This window comes from Homo sapiens, chromosome 11 (genome assembly GCF_000001405.40).
Source record: "Homo sapiens chromosome 11, GRCh38.p14 Primary Assembly".
In the NCBI taxonomy this organism is placed as follows: domain Eukaryota; kingdom Metazoa; phylum Chordata; class Mammalia; order Primates; family Hominidae; genus Homo; species Homo sapiens.
Window position 1 is genome coordinate 69,022,134 of NC_000011.10, and position 14,002 is coordinate 69,036,135.

Below are 14,002 nucleotides of genomic sequence, written 5' to 3' on the forward strand. Positions count from 1 at the left end.
TCCCGAGACCTTGGATTAATTGTCCAATAGTGTTCCTTCCAAGCTCCGGAGCAGTCGTTAGATCCTGCCCATGAATCAGTGTAGACTCACATCTCTGACCATCTCTCCTTCTGTGTAATGTGAACAACCAGGTGCACTGTTTGCAAGTCTGTCCCCGGACACTTCAGGGCCACCCTTACTGGGGCAGTAGAGCTCCAGCTGCCCACTTTCAGGCGATGCCAGCGAGCCATACATAAAACAGACCTGGAGTTTTTTCTTTCTTGGTCAGCTGGTCATAAGGGACTCCCATGAGATCATTCATGTGGAGGCGGGGAGGAGCTCTGCAGTGAAGGGGGTGCACGGGAGTCTGGGCCATCTGCTTGTGCAACGGACTTCAGGAGCTGCTCAAGTCTGAGCTCACGTGGCCCACTTCTACCTGATCACGGTGCTACAGCACACATTACCTGTATCATGTGTTGGATTGGTTACCGTCTAGTTTCGGGTGGGCAGCTCAGATCCTGTGGGAAAATGTGACACATTTAGTCCAACAGCAAGCCAGAAGCTGTTTTTCTTTTTCTTTCTTTCTTTCTTTTTTTTTTTTTTGAGACAGTGTCTCACTCTGTCTCCCAGGCTGGAGTGCAGTGGCAGGATCTTGGCTCACTGCAACCTCTGCCTCCCGGGTTCAAGCGATTCTCCTGCCTCAGCCTCCTGAGTAACTGGGATTACAAGCGCCTACCACCACGCCCGGCTAATTTTTGTATTTTTAGTAGAGATGGGGTTTCACCATATTGGCCAGGCTGGTCTTGAACTTCTGACCTTGTGATCTGCCCACCTTGGCCTTCCAAAGTGCTGGGATTACAGGCGTGAGCCACCGCACCTGGACTTTTCTCTTCTCTTCTCTTCTTTTCTTTTTTTGAGACAGAGTTTCACTCTTGTCACCCAGGCTGGAGTGCAATGGTGCCATCTCGGCTCACTGCAATCTCCGCCTCCCGGGTTCATAGCAATTCTCCTGCCACAGCCTCCTCAGTAGCTGGGATTACAGGCACCTGCCATTATGCCCGGCTAATTTTTATATATTAGTAGAGACAGGGTTTCACCATGTTGGCCAGGCTGGTCTTGAATGCCTGACCTCAGGTGATCCGCCTTGGCCTTGGCCTCCCAAAGTGCTGGGATTACAGGTGTGAGCCACCGCGCCCAGCCCAGAAGCTGTTTTTCAAAAGGAGAATAGTTATCTTCAGAAGAGGACATGTCTTTGCTCTAAAATCCCAGTGGTCTCTTCTGTGACACCTGTTGGAGCCTGCCAGAGGCCTCATACAGAATCCCTACTTGCCCCGGACACCTCAAGATCCACTGGATCTGTTGGGTCTGTTGGGCTCAATAGCATGACAGCTTGAAAGCAGCCTGGATGTATTGCAGAGGCTTCTCTCATTCTGGGTCCTGAAACTGGCAGCAGCCTTGCAGGTTACCAGTGAGTCGGTCGGAAGAGCACACCTGAATGAGGTGTAAGCTGCACCAAAACCCAGAGCCCCACCAAAGGTCATGCCACTTTCTTAACAGGAGGGGGTGCCTGGTGCAGCAACTGGTCTTCCTCTTCAAGGGGCTATCTCAACACGCCCCCCACCATTGTACCCCTAGAAACTTCACTGAGATGTTAGGCGTTTTGTGGGGTTCATTTCCCACTGGCTGACATGCCTGTGTCTTGCCAAGATGGCTCGGGTATTTACTGTTTCTTCTCAGGTCCAACGCACACATGCTATCACTACAGTGGGTCGGTTCGTCAGCCTGTGGAATGGTGAGGTAATGGAAGTACTCCAGAACTAGCTGTCACAGAGGGCTGGAGAGTTGGTAGACCTGAGGTAAGGGGGTAAAGGTGTTTTCCTGTCACTGCCCAACGGAACACACTTCTCATTTGTTTCTATTTTTTTCTTTTTTTTTTTTTGAGACAGAGTCTTGCCCTATCGCCCAGGCTGGAGTGCAGTGGTACAACGATGGCTCATTGCAACCTCTGCCTCCCAGGTTCAAGCAATTCTTGTGCCTCAGCCTCCTGAGTAGCTGGGACTACAGGCATGCACCATCATGCCTGGCTAATTTTTGTATTTTTAGTGGAGACGGGGTTGTGGTATGTTGGCCAGGCTGGTCTTGAACTCCTGACCTCAAGTGATCCTCCGCCTAGGCCTCCCAAAGTGCTGGGATTAGAGGCATGAGCCACCGCGCCTGGCCTGTTTCTGTTAAGTAATGAGTATAGAGAAAAATAATTGGTATTGAGTGTTGGGAGCTGTGTTGATTTGCTCCATAAAAACATTACATCCAGAAAAGCACATGAAGTTGCAGTTACTGCTTGACTAAGTTCACAATATGACTTTTGGTTTTCCATGTTGGGAGAGAGAGGCAGTGCTGGTGGCATCCATGTGGCCCTTTCTACCATAGTAGCCCTCACTCTACCAGTCAAGGAGCCACCCCATGGCTTCTACACCACTGAGTGCCTCTTCCACTGTACTTTCCAGAATGAGAAAATAACCACAGGGTGGGTTTCAGGGCCTGCGGAGCCTCCCATGAGACGGATCAGAACAAACCCCATTCATTGCTTGACCTCCAAAAGCCCCTGCTTTGACTGTGGGACCGCAGTGGCTGTGTGCATCAGGCACAACGAGTACCGCTAAGACTCAGTTCCCTGTGACCGCCCTCCCCTCTGGGTATTTGCCTTTCCATATTCACTCTTCCCAGATAAATGGCACAGGTCCCTTTGGGGACAGCAAGGAAAATGTGTGTACATTGTAAATGTTTGGTGGCAGAGCAGCGTCCTTCCTCAGTGAGACCCAGCCTCACTTTATTCAAGGAGCTCTGGGTAAAATCTGGGAACTGGGTCAGGGCGCCGAGCCTCCACCACAGTGACTCGAGTCAGCTGTCCGTTCACAGAGCTCCTTAATCAGGTCAAGTAAGATCTTAGTAGGTTGCCAAGATGTTAGGCTGAATGATGTTAAATTGTAGTTTTTCTTGTTGAAAATGGTTAAACAGCCGGGCACGGTAGCTCACACCTGTAATCCCAGCACTTTGGGAGGCCAAGGCGGGTGGATCACTAGGTCAGGAGTTTGAGACCACCCTGGCCAATATGGTGAAACCCCATCTCTACTAAAAATACAAAAATTAGCTTGGTGTGGTGGCGCACACACGTGATCCCAGCTACTCGGGAGACTGAGGCAGGAGAATCGCTTGAACCCGGGAGGCAGAGGTTGCAGCAATGAGCCGAGATCGTGCCACTGCACTTCAGCCTGGGTGATAGAGCAAGATTCCATCTCAAAAAAAAAAAAACAACAAAAAACAAAAAAACAAAAAAACAAAAAAAAAAAGAAAAGAAAGAAAATGGTTGAACATTGGCAATTTTACATGGTAAAACCAACTGTTTCAGTCCTAGGTTCTTCATGGTGAGTTAACCACTGCCAGGGAACTCTGGGGTGGGGGTGGGGGGTCAAGCCATTCTGATTATTAATCCAGTTCTCTGTGATGTAACGACACCCTCCCTGTCTGCGTGGTGAACTGTCCCTTGGCCCCGCCACTTTGGGATTCCACCATCCTCACTGAATTCAGGAAGCCCATTTCAATGGCAGCATCTCCCACTGTCACTCCTAGCCTGCAGAGAGCAGCCACTACAAACTCTTCAAACATGCTGATGTTCCTGACCCAGTGTCTTTCTCAATGCTTGGGTGAGGGGCCCTCCTGAGGGCCTAGTTAGGGGATGAAAGAGTAGATTGCGGCTGGGCGCAGTGGCTCACGCCTGTAATCCCAGCACTTTGGGAGGCCGAGGCAGGTGGATCACCTGAGGTCAGGAGTTCAAGAGCAGCCTGACCAATATGGTGAAACCCTGTCTCTACTAAAAATTTAAAAAATTAGCCGGACGTGGTGGCAGGAGCCTGTAGTCCCAGCTACTTGGGAGGCTGAGACAGGAGAATTGCTTGAACCCAGGAGGTGGAGGTTGCAGTGGGTCGAGATTGCGCCACTGCACACCAGCCTGGGTGACAGGGCTAGACTCCATCTCAAAAAAAAAAAAAAAAAAAAACAACAGAGTAGACTGTACATGATACATTCACTCCAGTATTCCTCTCCTTAACTCTGGGTTTTTTTTTTTCTGTTTTGGTTTTGTTTGTTTGTTTGTTTTTCGAGACAGGGTCTCTCTCTGTCATCCAGGCTGGAGTGCAGTGGTGTGATCACAGCTCACTGCAGCCTCATCCTCCTGGGCTCAGGCCTCCTGAGTAGCTGGGACCACAGGTGCGCACCACCACACCTGGCTAATTTGTTCCATTTTTTTGTAGAGATGAGGCTTCACCTTGTTGCCCAGGCTGGTCTCAAACTCCTGTGCTCAAGTGATCCATCTGTCTTGGCCTCCCAAGTGCTGGGATTCTGGGTGTGAGCCACTGTGCTTGGCCCTACTCTTTGGACACCTTTCTCTACTGCAGTGGCTCTCAATCAGGGGAGATTTTGCCCCCCATGGGGACACTTAGCAATGTCCAGAGGCATCTTTGGTTGTTATGGCTGGGAGGGGTACGTTTCTAGCATTGAGTGGGCAAGGGATACTGCTAAGGTCCCCACAACCTCCCCCAACAGCAAAGAGCCATCTGGCCTCAAATATCAATAGTGCTGAAGTAGAAAAACTCTGCTCCACGGAATTCCAAAGAAGTCCTGGAATCCCATCTTCATTTAAAATGGGTCACCACTGGGCTGGGTGCAGTGGCTCATGCCTGTAATCCTAGCACTTTGGGAATGGAGGTGGGTGGATCACTTGAGCTCAGAAGTTTGAGAACAGCCTGGCCAACATAGTGAAACCTCATCTCTACTAAAAATACAAAAATTAGCCAGGCGTGGTGGCAGGCACCTGTAGTCCCAGCTACTTGGGAGGCTGAGGCAGAAGAATTGCTGGAACCCGGGAGATGGAGGTTGCAGTGAGCTGAGATTGTGCCACTGCACTCCAACCTGGGTGACAGAGCAAGACTCCATCTCAAAAAAAAAAACAAAAAACAAAACAAGGCCTGGCATGGTGGCTCATGCCTGTAATCCCAGCACTTGGGAGGCCGAGGCAGGTGGATCACTTGAGGTCAGGAGGTCGAGACCAGCCTGGCCAACTGGGTGAAGCCCTGCCTCTACTGAAAATACAAAAATTAGCTGGGCATGGTGGCGGGTGCCTGTAATTCTAGCTACTCAGGAGGCTGAGGCAGGAGAATCGCTTGAACCCAGGAGTAAGAGGTTGCAGTGAGCAGAGATCGTGCCATTGCACTCCAGCCTGGGCAACAAGAGTGAAACTCTGTCTCAAATAAATAAATAAATAAAAACATGGGTCACCACTGCTCCAGGTTTCAGTTGATGGAATGGGCCAACTCTGAGAGCCACTCCCAGGTGCTGAGTGGACACGTGGAGCTCAGAATCTCTGGTGAGTGCACCATATCAAAATAATTAAGCCTGACCCGGCATTACTTTCTTCCCCCACCCCGCCGGTCTGACACCCTTAGGGTTTGTTCCCCTACAGATTTCCTAGGTTTCTGCCAGTATGAACCGGAAATAGCTTGCAATTCTTTTGTTGTGTATAGTACATCTTCCTGGGTCAGATTTTGTGGCCACATTCCTGGAGCTCACCGGGATTTCGATCTAGAAGCTGGAGGTGGTAGGGGCTCTTGAGGAAGAGTCTACCCTAGGATTAGAATCTTCCCAAATGGAATCCGTTCCACCATTCAGGGATCCACTCTTTCCCCGTCAGTGCCCTGACTTTCACAGAAGAGAAACTTGCGGCCCTGAGTTCAAGTGTAGTAGTTGAACTTGATTCTATTTTGCCACCCAGGGGATCAGAGTTTGGATTTGTTTATTTTTTTGATCTCTCAACTCTGTGGCTACAAGAGATATGGACTTCTTTTCAAGCACCAGTGGAGGGTTTCTGGTACTTTAGGTCTTGAACTGGATATTTAAAACCCTGAGCTCCTATTTTTTTCCCCCAGCAAATTCTCCGGTGCAATAGGAGGAGGCCACCAACTTCACAGGATGCAAACTCTGTATTTCACCATCGCGTTCTGTTGCAACAGCTACCGTTGCCTGTTTGCCTTCTGCAGGCACTTGACCCCATGTGATTGCTGATGAGGACTGCAGCAAGCTTCCCACACCTTCCCCAGCCCCACCCTCCAGCTCCTCCTGCATTTATGGAAGCACTGATTTCTATAGTAAGCCCCTTTTTCTCTGGAATGCATGGAGTGGCCCTGCTTTCCTCTCCAAACTCAGATGGATATGGTTTTTAATTTTTTAGTTTAAAAAAATTTCTTTTTGGCCAGGCACGGTGGCTCACGCCTGTAATCCCAGCACTTTGGGAGGCCGAGGCGGGCAGATCACAAGGTCAGGAGATCGAGACCATCCTGGCTAATACAGTGAAACCCCATCTCTACTAAAAATACAAAAAATTAGCCGGGCGCAGTGGCGGGCACCTGTAGTCCCAGCTACTCGGGAGGCTGAGGCAGGAGAATGGCGTGAACCTGGGAGGCGGAGATTGCAGCGAGCCCAGATAGCACCACTGCAGTCCGGCCTGGGTGAAAGAGCAAGACTCCATCTCAAGAAAAAAAAAAAAAAAATTCTTTTTGAGACAGGATCTCACTCTGTCACCCAGGCTGGAGTGCAGTGCAGTGGCATGATCACGGCTCTCTGCAGCCTCAACCTCTGGGCTCAAGCGATCCTCCCATCTCAGCCTCCCGAGTAGCTGGGACCACAGGCACGCACAACACCCGGCTAATTTGTTGTGTTTTTTGTAGAGATAGGTTTTTGCAGTGTTGGCCAGGTTGGGTCACAAACTCCTGGTTTCAAGTGATCTGCCTGCTTCACCCTTTCAAAGTGCTGGGATTACAGGGATGAGCTACTGTGCCTGGCCAAAAAAATATTTTTTTAGAGATAGGGCCTCACTCTGTTGCCCAGGCTGACTGGAGTGGCGTGATTGTAGCTCATTGCAGCCTCCAACTCCTGGGCTCAGATGATCCTCCCACCTCAGCCTCCCGAGTAGCTGGGACTACAGGCAGGCCTATGCTACCACAATTGGCTATTTTTATGATTTCTTTTTTTTTTTTTTTTCTGGTAGAGACAGGGTCTCGCTATGTTGCCCAGGTTGGTCTTGAGCTCCTGGCCTTAAGCAACCCTCCTCCCTCTGTTTCCTAAAGTGCTGGGATTACAGGTGTGAGCCACTGCACCCAGCCTACTATACGTCTTTTGAAAACCTCTCTAGGCTGGGTGAGGTGGCTCATGCCTGTAATCCCAGCACTTTGGGAGGCTGAGATGGGCAGATCACAAGGTCAAGAGATCGAGACCATCCTGGTCAACATGGTGAAAGCCAGCCTCTACTAAAAATACAAAAATTAGCCAGGCGTGGTGGCACATGCCTGTAATCCCAGCTACTCAGGAGGCTGAGGCAGGAGAATTGCTTGAACCTGGGAGGCAGAGATTGCAGTGAGCAGAGATCGTGCCGAGATCGCGCCATTGCACTCCAGCCTGGAGACAGAGCGAGACTCCATCTCAAAGAAAAAAAAAAAAGAAAACCCGTCTCATTGTTAAACTCTTACCAGGAACCTTATAGAGAAGGGGATTCAAGGACTTGCAGCCTTAGAGGGATGTGCTGGCGGGGCCACGTTACTCTTTCTTGGTTTAGTGTAGATTTTGTTGTTGAGAACCTTTGTGTTTTTATTCTTGTGGCAACCCTCCCCCAATACCTTCATATGATACCTTTAATCCCCTCTTTTTTGGCAGGGGGGATTGTCGATTGGTTTTCTTTTGTTGATTGGTGTTCTTTACTCAGTTTAAAAATTTTTTATTTTATTTTATTATTTCAGAAAAATTTTCTTGAATTATAATTATTATTTGTTCTGCTTCATTGCTTTGGTTTTCTTCTGGGATTCCTATTGTATGTATCTTGAATCTTATTTGCCTATTTTCTATAGCTATAATTTTCTCTAGACTTTTTTTTTTTTTGGCTTCAACATTTCTTTTTGGTTTAAAATTTTTTCTGCTTTCTTTCTTTCTTTCTTCTTTCTTCCCCCTTCCCTCCCTTTCTTCCTCCCTCCCTCCTTTCTTTTTTTCTCTCTCTCTTTCTTCCCCTCCCTCCCTCCCTCTCGTCCTTCCTTCCTTCCTTCCTTCTTTCCTTCCTTCCCTTCTTTCTAGATAAGAGTCTTGTTTTGCGCAGGTTGGACTTGAACTCCTGGGCTCAAGCGATCCTCCCTCCTCAGTCCCCGAGTAGTTGTGACCGCAGACATGAGCCTCAACAGCCTGCTTTTCCTAGTCTGTTTCTCTTAAGGCTTTATTTGTGGTACTCATTTGCCCTTCTACTCCTTTTAGTTTCAGTCTTCATTTCTTAATTCCTTTTCTCTTTTAAACTCCTTTCTGATTTCATCATCTCTTTACAACTTTTCCTTTTCACCGATTGCTTCATTTCTGAGTTTTTCTAGTTTTGATTTATGCTATTTTCCATAACTTCTATTAGTTTCTTAATATCTAAAATCACAGCTTGTTGTGCGATGTTAAAGTGACTGCTTCTGTCTGTTTTGAGGACATGTCCTTTGGGCACACCATCGTTGGCTGGGTAGGGCTGTCATTCTGCTCCTTTGTCTCTCTTTTTTATTTTTATTTTTGAGATGGAGTTTCGCTCTTTTTGCCCAAGCTGGAGTGCAATGGCGAGATCTTGGCTCACCGCAACCTCCACCTCCCGGGCTCAAGCAATTCTCCTGCCTCAGCCTCCTGAATAGCTGGGATTACAGGCATGTGCCACCACGCCTGGCTAATTTTTGTATTTTTAGTAAAGACAGGGTATCACCATGTTGGTCAGGCTGGTCTCAAGCTTCCGACCTCAGGTGATCTGCCTGCCTCAGCCTCCCAAAGTGCTGGGATTACAGGCATGAGCCACCGTGCCTGGCCTGTCTCTTTTTGTATAGCATCTCTGTATGGGATTGGACAACACTTCCTTCCTGTTGATCATTTCCCCCCCACAGTGAGATGCATCTTTCTGAATATCTCTGGGGGAAAGGTGGGCCAGGATAGCTCCCTTGAGAGCGCCCTCTGCTCTTATTAAGTTGGTGCAAAACTAAAAAACTGCAATTACTTTTGCACCAACCTAATAGTTCTGAGAAGAGATGGTAAACACAGCCCCTTGCTTTCTGCAACCTGCTGCCTCTGTTCTCTTCTCTCCCTTTTACTGGGACCTGTTTTCCTTTGTGCTTCTGCCCTGGTCAATTTGGATTCTACCCCCAGCAATTTCTTCTCGGGGCAGGGCTTTGTCTTGGAAGCGAGTTGCATTTTGTGAATTTCAAGAGTCCATGGCCCAGATGGCTCCGGCACCGTCTGCCTTACTGCTTTCTCCTTGCAGGCGCCTGCAAGTGGAAGGAAGGCTGTGAGTCTCCCTGCTTTGACTCTTGTTCTCTGACTGGACTATGGGCTTTCCAGGGAGTACCTGCTGTGATTTGGGGGTCTCTCCAGATCTCAGGACCATCAGAATCCCCGTCTGCATTGACTTCTCTCCTCTTCCTCTCCTGCGGTTGCTGATACCATGCAAGGCTTGTGGCTGTCAGTGACTTTGTACCCCCCTGCTTGTGTGCTGTGGACACCTTGCCATCTAGTCCCGTTGTGGCTATAGTTATCCAGAGGTTTTTGGTTTTTCTATCCTAGATGCTCTGTCAATTGTTGGGGAATTTGGGGAGGTGGAAAAAACTATGGCATCACTGTCCCATCTTCCCAAAATTGCTTTCAAACCCACTTACCAAAAAGTAGCAGAAACATTCATTATAAAAGCCACAGTGTGGATGGCAGCCCCCAGTGTTCTTCAGGGGAAATGAGAAGCTTCAAAGAGCAGAGCATGACATGTCTCAGGGCCTGGGCCCCTGTCTTGAGACTGCAGAGACTCTGTGGATAGAGCTCTAAGCAGGGCTGCCCTGTCCTGTTGCTGGGTTGTGCACTCCTCAAGTGCCCCTGGCTGAGAGGGTAAGTGGGGCTGAATCCCAGCCCATGCTGTTTGCTGAGTCCTGCGTCTGGTCCTGGGATGTACCCCTCCCACCTTGATAATGTACGCAGGACCTAGCAGCTTTCCTGACCATAGGGGAGGGGGTGGCTGTGTGGTTTTGAGGCCTTTTTTCTGCGGGGGGCGGAGGGGGGTCCCTGCAGGGAGGCCTGCAAAGCCTGAGTTCTCTCCCTGAGATGGGGAGAGTGACCACCAAGTTCCATGCATGTCCTCCCGGGTCTGAGCTGCACCAAAGTCACTTCTGGTAGAAACGTGGAGCTCCGGCTGGGCGCGGTGGCTCACGCCTGTAATCCCAGCACTTTGGGAGGCTGAGGTGGGTGGATCACGAGGTCAGGAGATCGAGACCATCCTGGCTAACACGGTGAAACCCCGTCTCTACTAAAAATACAAAAATTAGCAGGGCGTGGTGGTGGGCGCCTGTGGTCCCAGCTACTCGGGAGGCTGAGGCAGGAGAATGGCATGAACCCGGGAGGCGGAGCTTGCAGTGAGCTGAGATTGCGCCACTGCACTCCAGCCTGGGGGACAGAGTGAGACTCCATCTCAAAAAAAAAAAAAAAAGAAATGCAGAGCTCCCTCACCTCTGTCCTTAACCATGCTATCTTCAGCCTCATCTGGGAAAGAGGCTTCCGGGAACAGGAGCAGGGGGACCCTCAGCCAAGCCAGGAGCTGGATGAATCATGCTGGCTTGGCCCAGTCCACAGGGGCTCCAGGTAGAGGGACTCTAGAGCCACAGTCCTCCCGGAGGAGTTTCCCCAACTTTCCAGCCCCTGGCCCACCGTGGACTGCTGGGGTTCCTGGTTGGTGCGGGCCCTTTTCTGCCCCTCGGTTTGTGATCACACTGTTTTCTTTACCACTGTCCCTTGGAAAACTTCCATGCATCCTTCAGGGCCCAGCTCAGATGTCACCTCCTCCAGGAAGCCTCCTCATGAAGCCTTGCTTCTTAGCCCAAGCTCAGTTTGTCCCTTCCGTAAGTGCTGCTGCTCCTGACTCCATTCAACACGTGTGGATTCTGTCGTGCATCAAAACACCATTTGCTGAGCAGCTACTATGTGTTCAGTCTCTGTGTGTTACCCTGGGGTAAATAAGACAGACCTGGCTCCTGGCCCCGGGGGGGTGTGCGGTGAGATTATCAGGGAGGGGCACCATGGCAGATATGCTGCTGTCCCCAGTGCCCAGCAAGGACCTGGCATGCAGGAGATGCTTCATGGGGGTTTGGTGCTGGGCGAACGTCCTCAGCGTGGAGGCCTCAGCCAGCACAGCAGGGGAGCAGAGGCTGTCTTTGGCATTAATCCCTGAGTAGCTTCCTGGTCCCAGCTGCTGGGCTGGGGGACATCGCCCACTCTCCAAGCTGCTCACATACATTAGTAGCCGCTGGAGATGGGTGGGGGCTTCTCAGCTTCACAGGGGCAAGGTGCAGTGGCAGAGTAGGCCTTGCCCATGAACCGCCAGGGTCCCCTAGCCGAGATGAGTTCCCTCTGGCAGGCTGTGGAAGGATCATCCCTCCCTGGGTGCGTGACCCCCAGCCCCGCCCGACCTCAGGTCTATCCCGGGGCCTCCCCTCCCACCTCCGAGCTCTGGGTCCCCCGCTGTAAAAAGCCTGCAAGGCTGGCTCAGAGTCTGGTCCCAGGGCAACTGTGGGGTTGGCCGTGGCCCCACCCTACTGGGTCTCACTCACTCTCAGCTCACCTCAAAGCCCTGAGGTGGGAGTCCTGTGTAGCCCCTTTCTGTGCCAGAGCACACCCAGACTTTTCTCTTCCAGCCTGGGGCTCATCGTCTGAGGGCAGGGCTGCCTTTAAGACATCGTGGGGTTCGGCCACCCCAGTGCAAGCTGCCCCCACCACGGCCCCTCTTCAGGCCCAGGGGTGAATGGCTGCTTGTACCAGGTAACTGCAGCCCAGTCTCAAGCCATTGTGTCCCTGAGGCACCTGGTCCCCCTGGAGGGTCGGCCTTCTTCCCCTCTAATCCCCCCAGGCCTCTCCCAGGGACCTCTTAAAAGCACAGATCCCACGTGTTTCTCTCCCTTGCTCAAGACTGTCTGGCGGCCTTCTCCTTGCTCTCGGAGTGAGGTCTAAACCCCTCAGCACGGACACCAGGCCCCACGGGGTCTGCAGCTGCCCCTCACTTCCTCTGGGTCATCTCCCCTCAAGCTCACTGCTCCCAGCACCGCCCCTGCACACTGCGGCTCCTCCTGCCTCCCTGTCTGTACCCACCGTGTGGAGGACCCCTCATCAGCCTTCAGACTTCAGCTGAAGCGGCACCTCCTCCCAGAGGATCTCCCTGTTTATCTCATTTAAAGATGGCCCGCTGCGTGTGCGCTTTTGAAAATTGCACCATAATTCGCTTACTATAAAATGGGCCCTCTTAAAAGGATACACTTCAGTGGCTTTTAGTATATTCACAAGGTTGAACAACCATGACCACTTTCCAATTTCAGAATGTTCTCATCACCCCAAAAGGAAACCCTATCCCCGTAAGCAGTCTCTCCCTGTTCCTCCCTCTTCCCAGGCCCTGGCAACTGTAAAGCTGCTTTTTCTCTCTCAGGACCTGCCTCTTCTGGACATTTCGTATAAATGGAATCGTGTAATATGTGGCCTTTCGAGCTGGGCTTCCTTCACTCAACGTCATGTTTCCAAGATCCATCCCCATTGAAGCTGGTGTCGGAGCCTCACTGCTTTCTGCGGGCAAGTAACATACCATCCGGAGTGGGTTACGTTGGTTCCTTTCATCAGTCCCTTGGTAGCACAAGTCCAGTTTGTACTTTCTATTTTTATTTTATTTTATTTTATATTATTTTATTTTTGAGATGGAGTCTCACTCTGTCTCCCAGTGGCCCAGCTACTTGGGAGGCTGAGGTGGGAGGATCGCTTAAGCTGGGGAGGCCGAGACTGCAGTGAGCTGTGATTGTGCCACTGCACCCCAGCCTGGGTGACGGAGCTAGACCCTATCTCAAAGAAAATAAAGAAAGAAAGAAAGAAACAGAAAAGAAGACGAGTGAAAGTCCTAACCGCCTTTGTCTCTAAAAAACTGTTTTTAGAGACAGAGTCTCACCCTGCCGCGCGGCTGGAGCTGCCATGCCATCACAGCTCACCTCAGCCTCAAACCTCGGGTGCTCCTTGTGTGTGGTTGTCGGGGGAGGGTCTGAGCTCGGCACTGCCTCCTTGCAGGGGTGCATGGTGCCACCTGCAGCACGTTTGCACTCCCCGACCCAGGACAGACTGGTGGTGCCCCCTTGCCGGCCCCTGCGCCCCTCCACGCAGGGAGATCTGTGCCCTAGGAACAGCTCCCAGCCATGGCCAGGGACCACCGGGAGTGGGGAGAACAGCCTGCTTTCCCACCTCCCCGATACCTCTGAGGCTTGTTCTATGTGGTCTCCCAGAGGTCTCCACGGGGCCTAGCCCCGCTGCCACTGCTGAAAACTTGCCTTATTTGGCTTCTCCCCTCCCCTGCGCCCCTTCCCTCTTTCCCTCCCACCCTTCCCAGGCTCTCCACCAAAACACACTACTTGTGCTCAAATCCTTGTCTCAGCGGGAGCGTCCAGGGCCCTGGCCTAAGAGCTGGCAAGACCCCAGCTTCCACCCCGCTGGCTGTCCTCCCAGCTAGGCCTGACTGGCCCCTGCTTCTCCTGGGGCTTCACCCCCAGTGCCCCTCCCAGCCTTTTCCCCTCTCTGTACCCCCAACCCCCTCTCCCGGGGCTTCACCCCAGGGGCCCCTCCCAGCCTTCTCCCCTCTCTGCACCCCCGACCCCTCTCCCAGGGCTTCATCCCAGGGGCCCCTCCCAGACTTCTCCCCTCTCTGTACCCCCAACCCCACAGGCCTCTGGGCTCGGACTTCAGCCCTCACTTTCCCGACGCCACCCTAGTGACTCTCGTCCCCCACCGGCCCCTTCCTTGGCTGCCACCACAAGCCATTTGGTTCACAACATAGCAAATGGCCTGGGTCTCCCCGAATTCCTGTTGCTTGTGTCATATGCAAGAGAACTCAAAATAGCACGTGCAGCCTGCCCTGGCC